Raw genomic sequence first — 14087 nt, 5'->3', positions numbered from 1 at the left:
AGCATTCAGTGTGTAAACATTTACTACTATCTCATCCTCATCCTTGCTGTCCTCAAGGTCAGAGACTGCTTATCCTCTCTAGAGACAAAATCTCTTGTCATTTTTTGCTGGGACCAGGGAGGAACAGTTGCCCTCCAGCCATCCTTCTAGAGAGAGCTGTTGCTTCCCAGTTGGAGTTCACGTTCTTGGGCTTGCTGAGTTAGTTCCATTCATCCCTCTGCTTTGCAGCTTCCAAAGTGTGGTTACTGTTGTCTCCTCTTCTGTCCTTTTTGTTCTAATTGGTCAATGCTGTTTTTTAAAATCTCTTTGGTGTTTTAGTGGGGTTTCAGGAGGGAAGGAAATGGTGTGTGTTCAATCTACTTTGAAGTTACACCTTTCTTTTTAACCATACGATTTCAACCGTCTTATTTAAGCATTTCTGGTTTATACAGGCCAATAATTATTGGTGGTATTAAGGTGCCTTGTTTAGTTTTTTTTTTTTTTTTTTTTTTTTTGAGTTGGAGTCTCGCTCTGTTGCTCAGGCTGGAGTGCAGTGGTGCGATCTTGGCTCACTGCAAGCTCTGCCTCCCGGGTTCACACCATTTTCCCTCCTCAACCTCCCGAGTAGCTGGGATTACAGGCGCCCGCCATCAGGCGTCCGGCACCACGTCTGGCTAATTTTTGTTTTTGTATTTTTAGTAGCGACGGGGTTTCACTGTGTTAGCCAGGATGGTCTCAATCTTCTGACCTTGTGATCTGCTCGCCTCAGCCTCCCAAAGTGCTGGGATTACAGGCGTGAGCCACTGCGCCCGGCCTAGACTTTTTTTTTGGGGTTACCAAATTTGGTTTATATCCTATTTAGAACCTGAAACATAGATTTAATTATTTGGTTATGTTTTATTGCAAGTGGAATGTAGTGACATTACGTAGAATTATCTCTTACGAAAGACAAATGAGAACAGATTCAACTTTTAGAAATGAGTCTTTTGTATATTGATGTGACGGGAAGAAGAATTTTTTTTTTAATCCTTGTATTTAACACATAAAAGTGTTAATTGGATACATGTGCACTGTTTTGCCAGGGGCCAATTTTTTGCAGTCAGTTGTGGCAAATGCTCTTTTATTTTAAAACTTAGATATGCTTTCTGTTATCTGCAGTCCTCTACTGTTGCCTCTCCTGTGTAGAGGTCATTGTAGGTTGCATGGACAGGGAGCAGGCAGGCAAGGAGTACCCTTAGACACTAACTTAGTACCATTAGGCACTAACTTGGATTCTCAGTGCCCAGTAGGGAGATGGCTCTATTTCTGTGGCTAATTTCAGACAAGATTGGGTGAATTTAGGGTGGTATGGCTATGGATGCTTTGGCTAATTTCAGATTGTAATCAGTTCTGTGAAGGAAACAAATAGGCAGAAATGATGAATTGTTGTGAGTGGCAATATTGGGAGGCTGCTCTTGAGACCTGGCTGACATCCAGAAGAAGAAAGTATTGTTCAGGAGGTGGGGTGGAATGTCAAGAATGTAATGCCATGAGATGGGAACTGAGTCTTAACGAAGAAAGAGATTAGGCTGGTATGGCCGAAGTGAAGTAGCTGATAAGGGGTAAAGAGAAATGAAATAAGATTGGAGAAATGAGAGCCAGATACAGCGCTGTAAGCTGCAGGTTGATATTTCATTCTCAGTTCAGTGAGAAGGTACTGAAAGATTTTTATTTGGTTGGTCATTTAGACTGGGGGAATAGTAATAGTAACCAGTTTACGTTTTTTACACACCATTTGCTGTTGCTGTGGAGAGTAATCTTTAGAAAGGTAAGCATAAATGCAGTTGACCAGTCAAGGGGCTACTATAGTAGCCCAGGAGAAAGGTGATGGTGGCTTGATTTGGGTGGGAGCTGTAGAAATGGAGAGGAATTCAATATATTGGGGGTAAATTTTGGAGAGAGTACTTAGAAGACTTGGTGATAGAACTGATGTGGGAGTTAAGAAGGGAGGATGATTCTGAAGTTTTTGGCTTAAGCATCTGGTTAGATTGTGATGCTGTTTACTTGATGTCAAATGATCACGGGCTAATGGCCCTCTCTTTTGGGAGTGACATTGCTGAAGCCAGGGAGTGTAGTTGAAGATGTTAAACTGATACATATTGTGAGAAACTGTGCGGCAGCCTAGGATGTGATTGGGTTCTTGGGATGGGAAGGAAATAGTAAGTAGAGCAGACTAGAATTCCTATAGATGGGAATTAAAGTAGAAAAGAATTTCTTAGGTTTTCCCCCTTTTTTCTTCCCCTCATTACCCTGGGCTAGAGTACTACCCTTATGTTACCTTGTGGTGCAGGGCAGAAAAGTTGGAACTAGCTCATGTCTGCAGTGGGTAGCATTAGAGTGGCATTGTATCCCAGCTCCTGTGAGGAATAACTAACAGTGGATATAGTTGGATTGCTTGGTTCTTGAAAGTTCACTTGTTCCCTCCCATCCCTAGGGCTGAATTATTGTAACCAAGGAAGTGAGAATTCAGAAAGGTAAGTATCAGGGTAGACTTAGAGATTGTAATACTGAAATGCTTACTCCCAGAGTTGTATCCCCATGACTCTCTACCCTACTCATCAGTAGAGATACAAAAGCTAGGTGATGCTAGGCTGTAGCCCCTTGTTCCTGCAGTGTTCCTTTGTAGCTGATGTGCCTGGTCTCCCTGGGGAGTATGAATTCAGAGGGGAACATCTGCATTTCCTGTCTGGAGTGTAGTCACTATAAGAGAAAAGTAACAAACCGAACAACATGGAGCAGGTAAAGCAAAATTATTGGAATAGTCAGAATAAAATTTAGCTATAAGCATATTAAATATTCTCGAAAAAATAGAGCATGCTAGAAACATGAAGCAAGAAGGAGAAACCATAAAGAACAACAAACAGGAGCTAGTTGGGGATAGAGGACACAATCATTAGAGAACTCAGGAAATGGAGTGGATAGTATGTGGATACAACTGAAGAACGTGTAGGCAAGCTAGAATGTCCACTCAGATCTCCCACAAGTTATCACGAAAGGATAGAAGCAGAAAATAGACAAGAAAAAGCAATAAAGTGGATAGAGAAGTGTTAATATATGTGTAATAAGGATCTCGGAGAGAAAAAAGTGATAAATTAAGACCAAGATTTTCTTAGAAATGGAGAAGGAGTTGAGAGTTGAGATTGAGAGGGCTTTTAATGCCAAGGGAATATAACTGAATAAGTGTATACATAAGCAGTTATATTGAGACCTTTAGAATGTATTTAAAATCATAAGTTCCAGGAACAATGTTACCTGCCAGAAATAAAAAAAAGCTAGAAAGGTTTAAGATGAAAGAATGGAAAAAGATGGCCAGGTACAGTGGCTCATGCCTGTAATACCAGCATTTTGGGAGGCAGAGGCCAGAGGATCGTTTGAGCCTGGGAGCTTGAGACCAGCCTGGACAACAAAGTGAGACCCTGTCCCTTTAAAAAAAAAAAGGAAAATGATACGGCAAACAAACATGAACCAAAGAAAGCTGGAGTTGCACTTTTACAATCAACATTTACTTTAACATGAGAACAATTCAGAGGGGCAAAGACACTAGATATCAGTGAAAGGAACAGTTACCCAAGCGTATATAATTGATTGTGAACATGTATGTATATAATAATTTCAAAATGTACGAAGCAACAATTGATGGAACAGTTGTAGATGACAGCTGCTACAGATATTCAGTGATACAGTTCATTAAAATGACAAAAATGGAGCAATGAAATAATTGGAGGAGACACGATTCTGATCATTTGCAGATGACCTACACAGAAACCCCAGCAGCATCCATATTTGGGCACAAGATGGATGTGCAAAAAAATACGTAGTGTCCCTGTGGCAGCAGTAGCCAGTTAGGAAACATGGAAGAAGATAGCACAGGAACTGGAACTGCACACCTGTTAGTAACTAGTCTAATGATGAATGCATGAGACACTTATGGAAAACACTTTACAACTATTTTAAAGGTGATAAAGGAAGATGTTTAGTCTTGTTCAAAATGGAGAGCGCTATGTTCATGGATGTGATAGCTTCACATTGTAAAGATGTGACTTCTTTCTGAATTCATTTATAAATTTGATGTAGTTCAAGTTAAAATCCCAGCAGGATTGTTTTGAGGTGATTGATAGGCTTATTTTATAATTTGTAAGGAAAAGCAAAATCTATTATAATAAAGTCACTTTGAAAAGAACAGCATAACTAGGGCATGGGGGGAATGATAGTTGCTTTATCTGCTACGAAGCTGTTTCAAAGCCATAGTAATAGACACATACGAGAGTGGCACGGGGCAGGCGGATACCCGGAGAAACAGTGGGAGACCCTTTGGCTCCTAAGAAGGAACTCCTTCTTGCATATGTGTCAATCTTAGATAAAACGAGATAAATAGGACATCACAAATCAGTGGGGAAAGGATGGATCGTTAGAGGAAACTGGCCTGCTTCATTGGGGAAAAAGCAAATTAGGCTAAGATTCGTACTTTATAGCACATAAACTTTGGTTAAATCACATATGTTTGGAAAGTAAAACTAAACGAAGAAAATATCAAAATGTCAGTTTAGGTGATGAAGGTAATCATAAAAACATAAAAAGCATTAGCCACATTAATGGATTAATGAATATTAATGGATTTTATTCTGTCAAAGTTAATGTCTTTTTAGTGAAGGACTCTATATTTGGAGTTAACAGATGTGAAGAAGAGAGTTTTAAAACATTCCTAAACTGGCAAGAGATTAGTAGCTAAAACCCACAAAGCACTTTTGTAAATCGACAGCAAAAAACAGGGAAATCAGTAGAAGATGGACAACAAATAGTTTGCAGAAAACTTGGTGGTAATAAGTATATGAAGTGTTACTGAAAGGAGGAAAGGAAGTTAAAATAACAGGTGAGCAAAAGTTTGTGATCCTTTATGATCTAGCAGTCTTATTCCTGCGTAGCCTCGTCAGAAGAACATATACACGCCTGTCTATGAGGGTTCTATGTCTTAGGATGTCATTTATAGGATATAGAGTTGGAGCTGGTTAAAAGGATGGATGAGTAAAATGAAGCCATTACATACTAAAGAGTACTATGTGAGTCAGTCCCAGAAGACTTAAAAGTTGGTTGAAAAAACAAAACACCTAGTTTATGGTAGATTACCATTTGTCTAAATCTCTCACACACCCCCCTTCTGGATTTTTCGGTTATACTAACACAGCTGTAGTGGATACCTAGGGTGGAGGTTGTCATGGAAGTGGAATCAGGGACGAAGGAGAAATCAAATGATGAGGGCCTTGCATAGACTCCTGACACTGCATCACGAACCGGAGATTTGGATTAGCTCTACCTGAGATGGGTAAGGAAGAATAACAGCAAGGAGGTCATCATTGAGTTTGATGGGTGGACAATTTTTGTGCAGCAGTGGTTAAGTTGGAAACCAGATGTACAAAGAAGTGAGTGGAAGGAGTGTTTTGAAAACATACATATTGATTGGGAGCAGGAAAAAGGGGGCACTAAGCTGAATGGTCATTTGGAGACAAGGAAGGGTTTTGTTTATTGGTGGCAGAGTGTTCTTAGAGCGAATTCAGTGTGTATGCTGATGGGAATGAGCAATGGGCAGGAAGAAATTGATGCAAGAAAATGGATAACTCTAGGAGTTTAAGTCCTCAAAGGAAGAGGGCTCCAGGACAGAAATCAGTGAGTTTGCCTTAGACTTTTGTATTGAAAGGGGACAGGACATGGAGATGAATGTCAGTTGCTTTGTCTGTTTTGGGGTTTGTGTTTGGCTGTCTTATGTAAGTCAAGGACAGTCTTGGTTATTGGGAGCCAGTGCTGCAGGAACTTCTTTTCCCCAGTGAAACAGCTGTTGTTTTAATAATGTAATATTTTGGCCAGGCACAGTGGCTCACGCCTGTAATCCCAACACTTGGGAAGGCCACAGTAGGCGGATCATCACTTGAGGTCAGGAGTTTGAGACCAGCCTGGCCAACTTTGGTGAAACCCTGTCTCTACTAAAAATACAAAAATTAGCCGGGCGTGGTGGCACGTGCCTGTAATCCCAGCTACTCAGGAGGCTGAGGCAGGAGAATTGCTTGAACCCGGGAGGTGGCGGTTGCAGTGAGCTGAGATCGTGCCACTGTACTCCAGCCTGGGCAACAGAGCAAGACCCTGTCTCCAAAAAAAAAAAAAAAAAAAAAAACACAATAAAATAATAATAATAATAATAATTTTTTTTAAAGAGAATTTTCTTGGGGTCACACACACAAAAAAGAAACCTCATTATAACCAAACAGTGTATTTAGTCTATGTGGAAGTATTTTTATCAAAACATAATATTCAACTATTTGATCTGAAAAATGTTAAATTACTAAATTATTAGGAACCTCCAGTTTTGTAGAATAATCTATTCTTAGTTACTGGGAAAAAAGAGAACTCAGACCTCCTTTGAAGATGAGGCCTAACTGGATATCTGTCGTTCATGTCTGGAGTGGGAAGAAAAGGAACATAGTTTGCTTCTTTGAAGTGATAGTGCTTTATGAGATTGTTACATTATTACCACTGACCTTTAATACTTGGAAAGCTAGCCGGGCTTGGTGGCTCACATCTGTAATCCCAGCACTTTGGGAGGCCGAGGTGGGTAGATCACCTCAGGTCAGGAGTTTGAGACCAGCTGGCCAGCATGGTGAAACGCTGTCTCTACTAAAAATACAAAATGTGGGCCGGGCACGGTGGCTCATGCCTGTAATCCCAGCACTTTGGGAGGCTGAGGCAGGTGGATCACCTGAGGTCAGGAGTTCAAGACCAGCCTGACCATGGAGAAACTCTGTCTCTACTAAAAATACAAAATTAGCCAGGCGTGGTGGTGGGCGCCTGTAATCCCAGCTACTTGGGAGGCTGAGGCAGGAGAATCACTTGAACCTGGGAGGTGGAGGTTGTGGTGAGCCGAGATCGCACCATTGCACTCCCGCCTGGGCAACAAGACCGAAACTCTGTCTCCAAAAAAAAAAGTGAGCTGGGCATGGTGGCGCATGCCTGTATTCCCAGCTAATGGGAGGCGGAGGCGGGAGAATCGCTTGAACCCACGAGGCGGAGGTTGCAGTGAGCGGAAATGGTGCCATTGCACTCCAGCCAGAGCAATAGGACTGAAACTGCATCTCAAAAAACAAAAAAAAAAACCAAAAAACTTGGAAGGCCACATTGTATATTCATCTCTGTTCAGTGTATTCTAAATGTTCTTATGTTCAGGGAGCTTGTTTTCTTTTTATTGTTTTTTTTTTTACAGCAGCTGACACCTTTTGAAAGGAGTATGTTTTCTAACCATCTGCATGATTTTTCATCCTCTGAACCTGGTTGATTACTTTTAACTTTGATAATGCTCTGATGGACCACAAACATACACTTGTTTGTACTTTGAAGTTATTTCATTTAGTGTGAAACTACTAGCTCATGCAATTTATGATTTCTTAATTTCCCAAGGCCACATGAGTTATGAAACAGATAAACCTGTAACTGCATCAAATACACAAACCTGTGAATTATGTAGTATATTGAGTATATGTTAATTAGGACTTTTTACCTAGCTAAGTTTCTCTTTGATAGCTCCAGAATTTCAGCTATCATTAATCGGTCATTGTAGCTTGACTATAAGAGATCCACTTAATCTCTGGCTCCTGGGGTTGCTGTAGAAGTTAATATTAGGCCCAAATAATTTCAAACTAAAAGTATCTGCCCTCCTTTTTCCAAGATGGGAACTATCTAGGATCTTCTAGGTACTCTCAGGTAAATCTCTTGTGATAAAATTTTAGTGATCCATTTTTTTTATCTTTGTTGTACACACTAGGATGCATTTTAACAGCTTTATTAAGGTATACTATACCATAAAATATACCCTTTTAAGGTGTATAATTGAATGGTTTTTTTAAGTAAATTTATAGTTGTATAGCCATCACCACAACCCAGTTTTAGAACATTTCTGTTGACCTAAAACAATCCTTTCTGCCCATTGGTAGTCATTCTTCATTCCTACCACTAGCCCGAGTCAAACACTAATCTCTCGTCTGTCTATAAATCTGCCTCTTCTGGAAATGTCATGTATATAGAAGTGTACATATGTGGTCTCTTGAATCTGGCTCCTTTCACTCCATGTAATCTTTTTGAGGCCTATCCTTGTAGCATGTATTAATAGGCCATGGCTTTTTATTGCCAAATGAGATTCTATTGTATGGATATATTACATTTGTTTATGCATTCACCAACTGATGGACATTTGGGTTGTTTCCACATTTTGGTGATTGTAAATAATGCTGTGAACATAAAATGCACTTTTGATGATGATTCTATGGAGTTGCCTTACTGTAGGGTATTCTGGGTGATACAAACTGATCATGACTATCATGGTCCAGAGTCTGACCTTACTAGCAGATAACACAGATTCAGTATTGTTTTGTTCCCCTGTCCATAGCATAACCCTTGTGGAGTCTTGGTTGGTTAACCAGTGCAGAAGCAGTTCAACACCAATAGTCTTTGAGGATAAGTTTCTTCAGAGGAACTGAAAGACTATTTGTTGATTTAAATACTTAATGACTAACTGTTACATTTAGACAAAACCCTCCTTAGGGCCCAAAAGGTAATATATTTGTTAGTTTTTTAAAAAGTGAAAGCTAATATGACTTTTTTATACTAGTAGTCTTCCTAAATTTGGGATTGGGAATAGTCTTATTTCTCAGAAGATCCTTAAGGGTACTTCTGAGTTTGGAGCTTTGACAGACTGGGAGATGGGTATAGAGCATTTTATAAACTGGCAGGATGACATGTTGGTGAGAAATCCCTAAGGTCTGCCACAAATCTAGGTCCTTTTGGACTTGTGAGCTAGCTGATCTGGTTGGGAAGTAGCATTCTACCGGAGCTGTCCAGCAGTACGTTATGCACTGCTGGAAATGCTCCACATCTGCCCACAGCGGAGCAGCCACAGGTGGCTGTTGAGCACTGCAAGTGTGACTAGTTTGAAGAACAGAATTTTTATTTTTTAACATTTTTATTAAATGTAAATAACCAGATGTAGCTAGTGGCTACTGAATTGGGCAGGACAGTTCCAGATAATTGTATTAACCTGCCGTGAATCAATTTTTAGTTTTTGTCACCTAGATTCTAGCTTCTGGATTTTACTGTTGCTTAACTTTGGAAAATGTTACTATTTAGCATCACTTTCCAGAATGTTGCTTTCTTAATTTGCTTTTGTGCTTTGTATAGGTGGCACAAGAATGGCTCAACTCTCCAAATAGAGAGAATTTCTATCAGTTGCAAGTACGAAAATTTCCTGCCGATTATATAAAATACTGGGAGTTTGCAGGTAAGTTTTTTCTTACGCAACTTGGAATATATGATATAATAATTGGAGATTTCTAATTAAGAGGAGATAGCATTATTTGAATTTAGGGGGACACAAATTTTCTAAGCTAAATTTGTGACTTCTTAGAATATGCTTAAAGTCTTAATGAGGATAGTTACTGGAACAATTATGAATGTAAAATTTATGATTTTTTTCCCCACTCTGTAGTTAGAATACTACAGGCTGAATTGTCAGTGGGGGCTGGGAATGGGAGAGAGGGTGAGTGGAGGGATTTGGTGGGGGTGTTGCATAATAGTCTTTACAGATTCTGAGTAAATCTTCCTGGCATCTGTCTTTTCATTTCATGATTGATCCGAACCACATACCACTTTTATATACTAGTTATAAATACACCAAACATTCAGAACTCTTTAAAATAAAATGAATAAGTCCTCTTTTTACCCCCAACCCCCATCCATCCTCCTCTGTAGATGTGCTTAAAAAAAAATGAGGCTGGGTGCGGTGGCTCATGCCTGTAATCCCAGCACTTTGGGAGGCCGAGGCGGGCGGGGATCACCAGGTCAAGAGATCGAGACCGTCCTGGCCAACATGGTGAAACCCCGTTTCTACTAAAAATGCAAACATTAGCCAGGCATGGTGGCGGGTGCCTGTAGTCCCTGCTACTTGGGAGGCTGAGGCAGGAGAATCACTTGAACCAGGGAGGTGGAGTTTGCAGTGAGCCGAAATAGCGCCACTGCACTCCAGCCTGGCACAGAGACTGTCTCAAAAACAAAACAAAACAAAAACAAAAAACAACAACTACAATTATATGTTACATGTATTATGTACTGTATTCTTACAATAAAGCTAAAGAAAAGAAACTAAAATCATAAGGAAGAGAAGATATATTTATTCATTAAGTGAAACGGATCATCATAAAGGTCTACATCTTTATCATCGTCACACTCAGTAGATAGATGAAGAGGAGGAGGGATTTGTCTTGCTCTCTCAGGAGTGGCAGAGATGGAGAAGAATCTATGAATTAGTGGACCTGTGCACTTCAAACTCATGTTCAATTGTCAGCTGTACATTGAGATGCAATAGCCACAAAGCAGAAAGAAAGCGGATGTTTGGCAGGAACTTATCATTTTCACACATGGTTTAGTAACAGTGAGCCATTTTTATTAGGGAATGATGAGAACTGTCCTAAAATCTAAGTTCCTAGATACCAGCCAAGGGGCAGCCTCGCAAGCAGGTCTTTTGAAGGATAGCATGCCTGCTATGTTAACTCTTTTCTGCACAGCATGTTATGAATAATGCTACTATGATCACCCATGTATCTCTTAGTGTTCTTCTGAATGCATTTTTGTTAAGTTTATATCCAGAAGTAGATTGTGGAATATTAGGGTGTGTATAAGTTCAACTTCAGTAAATAATGCCAAGCCTATTGTACAAAATTATATTCCACCAGCAGTATATGAGAAGTTGCATTTTTCTGTGTCTTCAGCAACACATTTGTATAGATTGTTTTGAGATTTTTAGCTGTTGGGCTGTGTGTATTGATGGTGTTTTGTGGGCTTTTGTAATGTCCTCATTAGGGAGATTGAGCATCTTTTCACATATTTAGTAGCTGTCTCAGTAACCTCTTTTGGAAAGTGCCTGTTCAAGGCTTTTGGTCATTTTCTGTTGTCTTTTTTTCAGTTGATTTGTAGGAGTTCTTTATATAATCTGGGTAGAAGTCATTTCCTCACTTTGACTTACATACTGACTCTTTTTAGTGATGTCTTAAAAATTTCTTTTTCATTCTTATTGAGAATTGCTTATTTGAACATAGTAAATACATCAGTCTTTTATTGTCAGTGCTCTGTGTCCCGTTTCTTAAATGAAGAGTAAGAAATCTTTCTCTGCTACAGGTTGCAAATTACATTCTCTTGCCTTCCTTTGCCCCCACCCCCATCACCCATGGATCAGGATCTCTCTTACCTTCTAGAACAAAGGTTAGCAAACTACAGCTCGCAGATCCACCTACCCCATGTATTGATTTTGTATTGCCCTAGGGTACATTTTTTATGTTCCCCCTTTTTTTTTTCTTTCTTAAATATAGAGATGGGGTCTTGTGCCGTTGCCCAGGCTGATCTCAAACTCCTGGTCTCAAGTGATCCTCCTGTGTCATCAGCCTTCTGAAGTGCTGGGATTACAGGTGTGAACCACCTCGCCCAGCTGGTTTTTACGTTTTTAAAGCTCTATAAAAAAGAGTATGTAACAGGCATTATGTGTGGCCCCACAAGCCTATCTGGCCCTTTACAGAGGAAATTTGGGAACCCCTTTTCTAGAAGCTTTCTTGTTTTGTTTCTGACTGAGGCATGTGGGTTGGGTTCCATTTTTTTTTTTTCCCCCAAGTAGAGGTCTGATTATCCCAGTACTATTTATTGAAAGACCATTTGTGCTTCACTGCACTGCTATGTTTGTCATGCGTCTGGAGTCCACTTAATGTCTGGGCATCAGTCTGTTCTTCTTGAGATCATTTGCCTACCCTTGGGCTCATATCACATTGTTTACTTAATCTAGCTTTATAAGAAGTTTTAATAACTCACAGAGCAAGTCCTCCTACCTTGTTTTGTTTTGTTTGTTCTGTTTTTTGAGATGGAATCTTGCTCTGTCGCCCAGACTGGAGTGCAGTGGCGCGATCCTGGCTCACTGCAACCTCTGCTTCCCGGGTTCAAGCAATTCTCCTGCCTCAACCTCCCGAGTAGCTAGGACTACAGGTGTGCACCACTATGCCTGGCAAATTTTTGTATTTTTAGTGGAGACGGGGTTTCACCTATTGGCCAGGCTGGTCTGAAGCTCCTGGCCTCAAGTTATCTGCCCGTCTTGGCCTCCCAAAGTGCTGGTGTGAGCCACGGCGCCTCACCCCTCCTACCTTGCTCTACTTTTTGAGTGCTTTGGCTATTCTTGGCCCTTTGCATTTCCATATAAATTTTAGAGGAAAAGAAGTGGAAATTTGGGAAGAATTGACAACTTTTAATACTTTCTAATTCATGAATAAGGTATATATCTTCAGTTATTTAGGTTAAATTTTTCTCAGTGTTTTATAGTTTTCTGTGGAGAGGTTTTGCATGTCATCTTCAGTTAGTGACTATGTTAGTGACTATCTCTAAAAAATAAGAGCTTAAAAATAAGTCATACCTAAAAAGTTACCAATAATCCCTTCATATCAGTCAGTGTTCAAATTTTCAGTTATCTCATAACACTTTTTTTCAGCTTAAGATCCAAAGTAGTCCACCCAATGGCATTGGTTGATAGGTCTTTTTAAACTAGAATTCTCTCATTTTCTTCCCTTGCAATTTTTTTGTTGAAAAATTAGTTTTATAGAGTTAATCATGGTCTGGATTTTGCTGATATTGCATCCCCTTGGTGGTGTTTAGAATGTGTCTCTGTCCTCTGTGTGTTTCCTGTATATTGATACCTGGAACTAGAGGATTGATCCAATTCAGGTAAATTTTTGTTACTTGTTTTTGGCAAAACTATTTTATAGTTGGTGGTATGTTCCATCAGCAGCAGCAGGTACGTGGTATCTGGTTTCTTTTTCTGATAATCACAGCTGCTTGTACTTAGTCACTAATTCATTAAAGGGAGCAAAATGGTGATACTTTAATCATTTTATGTTAGCTGGAATACTTCTCTAGAGAGAAAATTCTCTACTACTATTTGGTTACTCAGTAGCATAGTTTATAAAGGAAAGGCAGTATAAATACTTGCTGCTTGACCAGTTTTCAGAATAACGAGTTTAATTCACTAGTAGTCCGGGTGCGGTGGCTCAGGCCTGTAATCCCAGCACTTTGGGAGGCCGAGGGGCAGATCACCTGAGGTCAGGAGTTCGAGACCAGCCTGGCCAACATGGCAAAACCCCGTCTCTACTACAAATACAAAAATCAGCTGGGCATGGTGGCGCATACCTGTAGTCCCAGCTACTAGGGAGGCCGGGGCAGGAGAATCGCTTGAACCCTGGAGGCGGAGGTTGCAGTGAGCCGAGATCGTGCCACTGCACTCCAGCCTGGGAGACAGAGCAAGACTCCATCTCAAAAAAAAAAAAAAAAAATCACTAGTAAGTGCCAGTGGTGACTGGTAAGCTTAAAAAAGAACTATGAGTGCATGGATTGGTGTGCTTGTGTTTCAGTCCATTTCAGTCAGCTCCTTCTAGTTGGCTCTGAGGCTGTGTGCTATGACAAGATGTTCCAAGTTCATCATATATATTGTTTTTATCCCATAACTGAGCTTACAGTTTTCTAAGGAGCCTTGCTATATTTTAGTTGAAAGCAGTATTTCAACACCAATCTGGGCATGCTATATGCTGTTAGTGGGTAATACATCTAAATATAAGGATACATAAAGATTGTAAGTAAAAGATAACCATGCATATCCAAATTAAAAAAAAAAAACTTATTTAGCTCTGTTAATATCAAACTAAATAGACATTAAGGCAGAAAACATTATTATTGTTGTTATTATTATTATTATTTTTTTGAGACAGAGTCTTGCTCTGTCGCCCAGGCTGGAGTGCAGTAGCTGATCTTGGCTCACTGCAACTTCTGTCTCCCGAGTTCAAGCAATTCTCCTGCCTCAGCCTCCTCAGTAGCTGGGATTACAGGTGCTCACCACCACACCCAGCTAATTTTTGTATTTTTAGTAGAGACTGGGCTTTGCCATGTTGGCCAGGCTGGTCTTGAACTTCTGACCTCAGGTGACCCGCCTGCCTTGGCCTCCCAAAGTGCAGGGA

At 40.2% G+C, this 14087-nt stretch overlaps 1 protein-coding gene across 13 annotated transcripts in view; it reads left to right on the top strand.

The window, feature by feature from the left end:
* Positions 1-14087, top strand: part of SETX (senataxin) — a 95389-nt gene that overhangs the window by 35657 nt on the left and 45645 nt on the right. For all 13 annotated transcript variants that reach the window (XM_005272172.4, XM_011518404.4, NM_015046.7 and 10 more), the window contains one exon: positions 9232-9331. In XM_005272172.4, the coding sequence (XP_005272229.1) occupies positions 9232-9331 (100 nt within the window). Of the gene's footprint in view, positions 1-9231; positions 9332-14087 lie in introns of those variants that run through there.

The sequence above is a fragment of the Homo sapiens genome, chromosome 9 (assembly GCF_000001405.40).
Source record: "Homo sapiens chromosome 9, GRCh38.p14 Primary Assembly".
NCBI classification, from domain to species: domain Eukaryota; kingdom Metazoa; phylum Chordata; class Mammalia; order Primates; family Hominidae; genus Homo; species Homo sapiens.
This window is presented reverse-complemented; position numbering and strand designations above follow the sequence as displayed.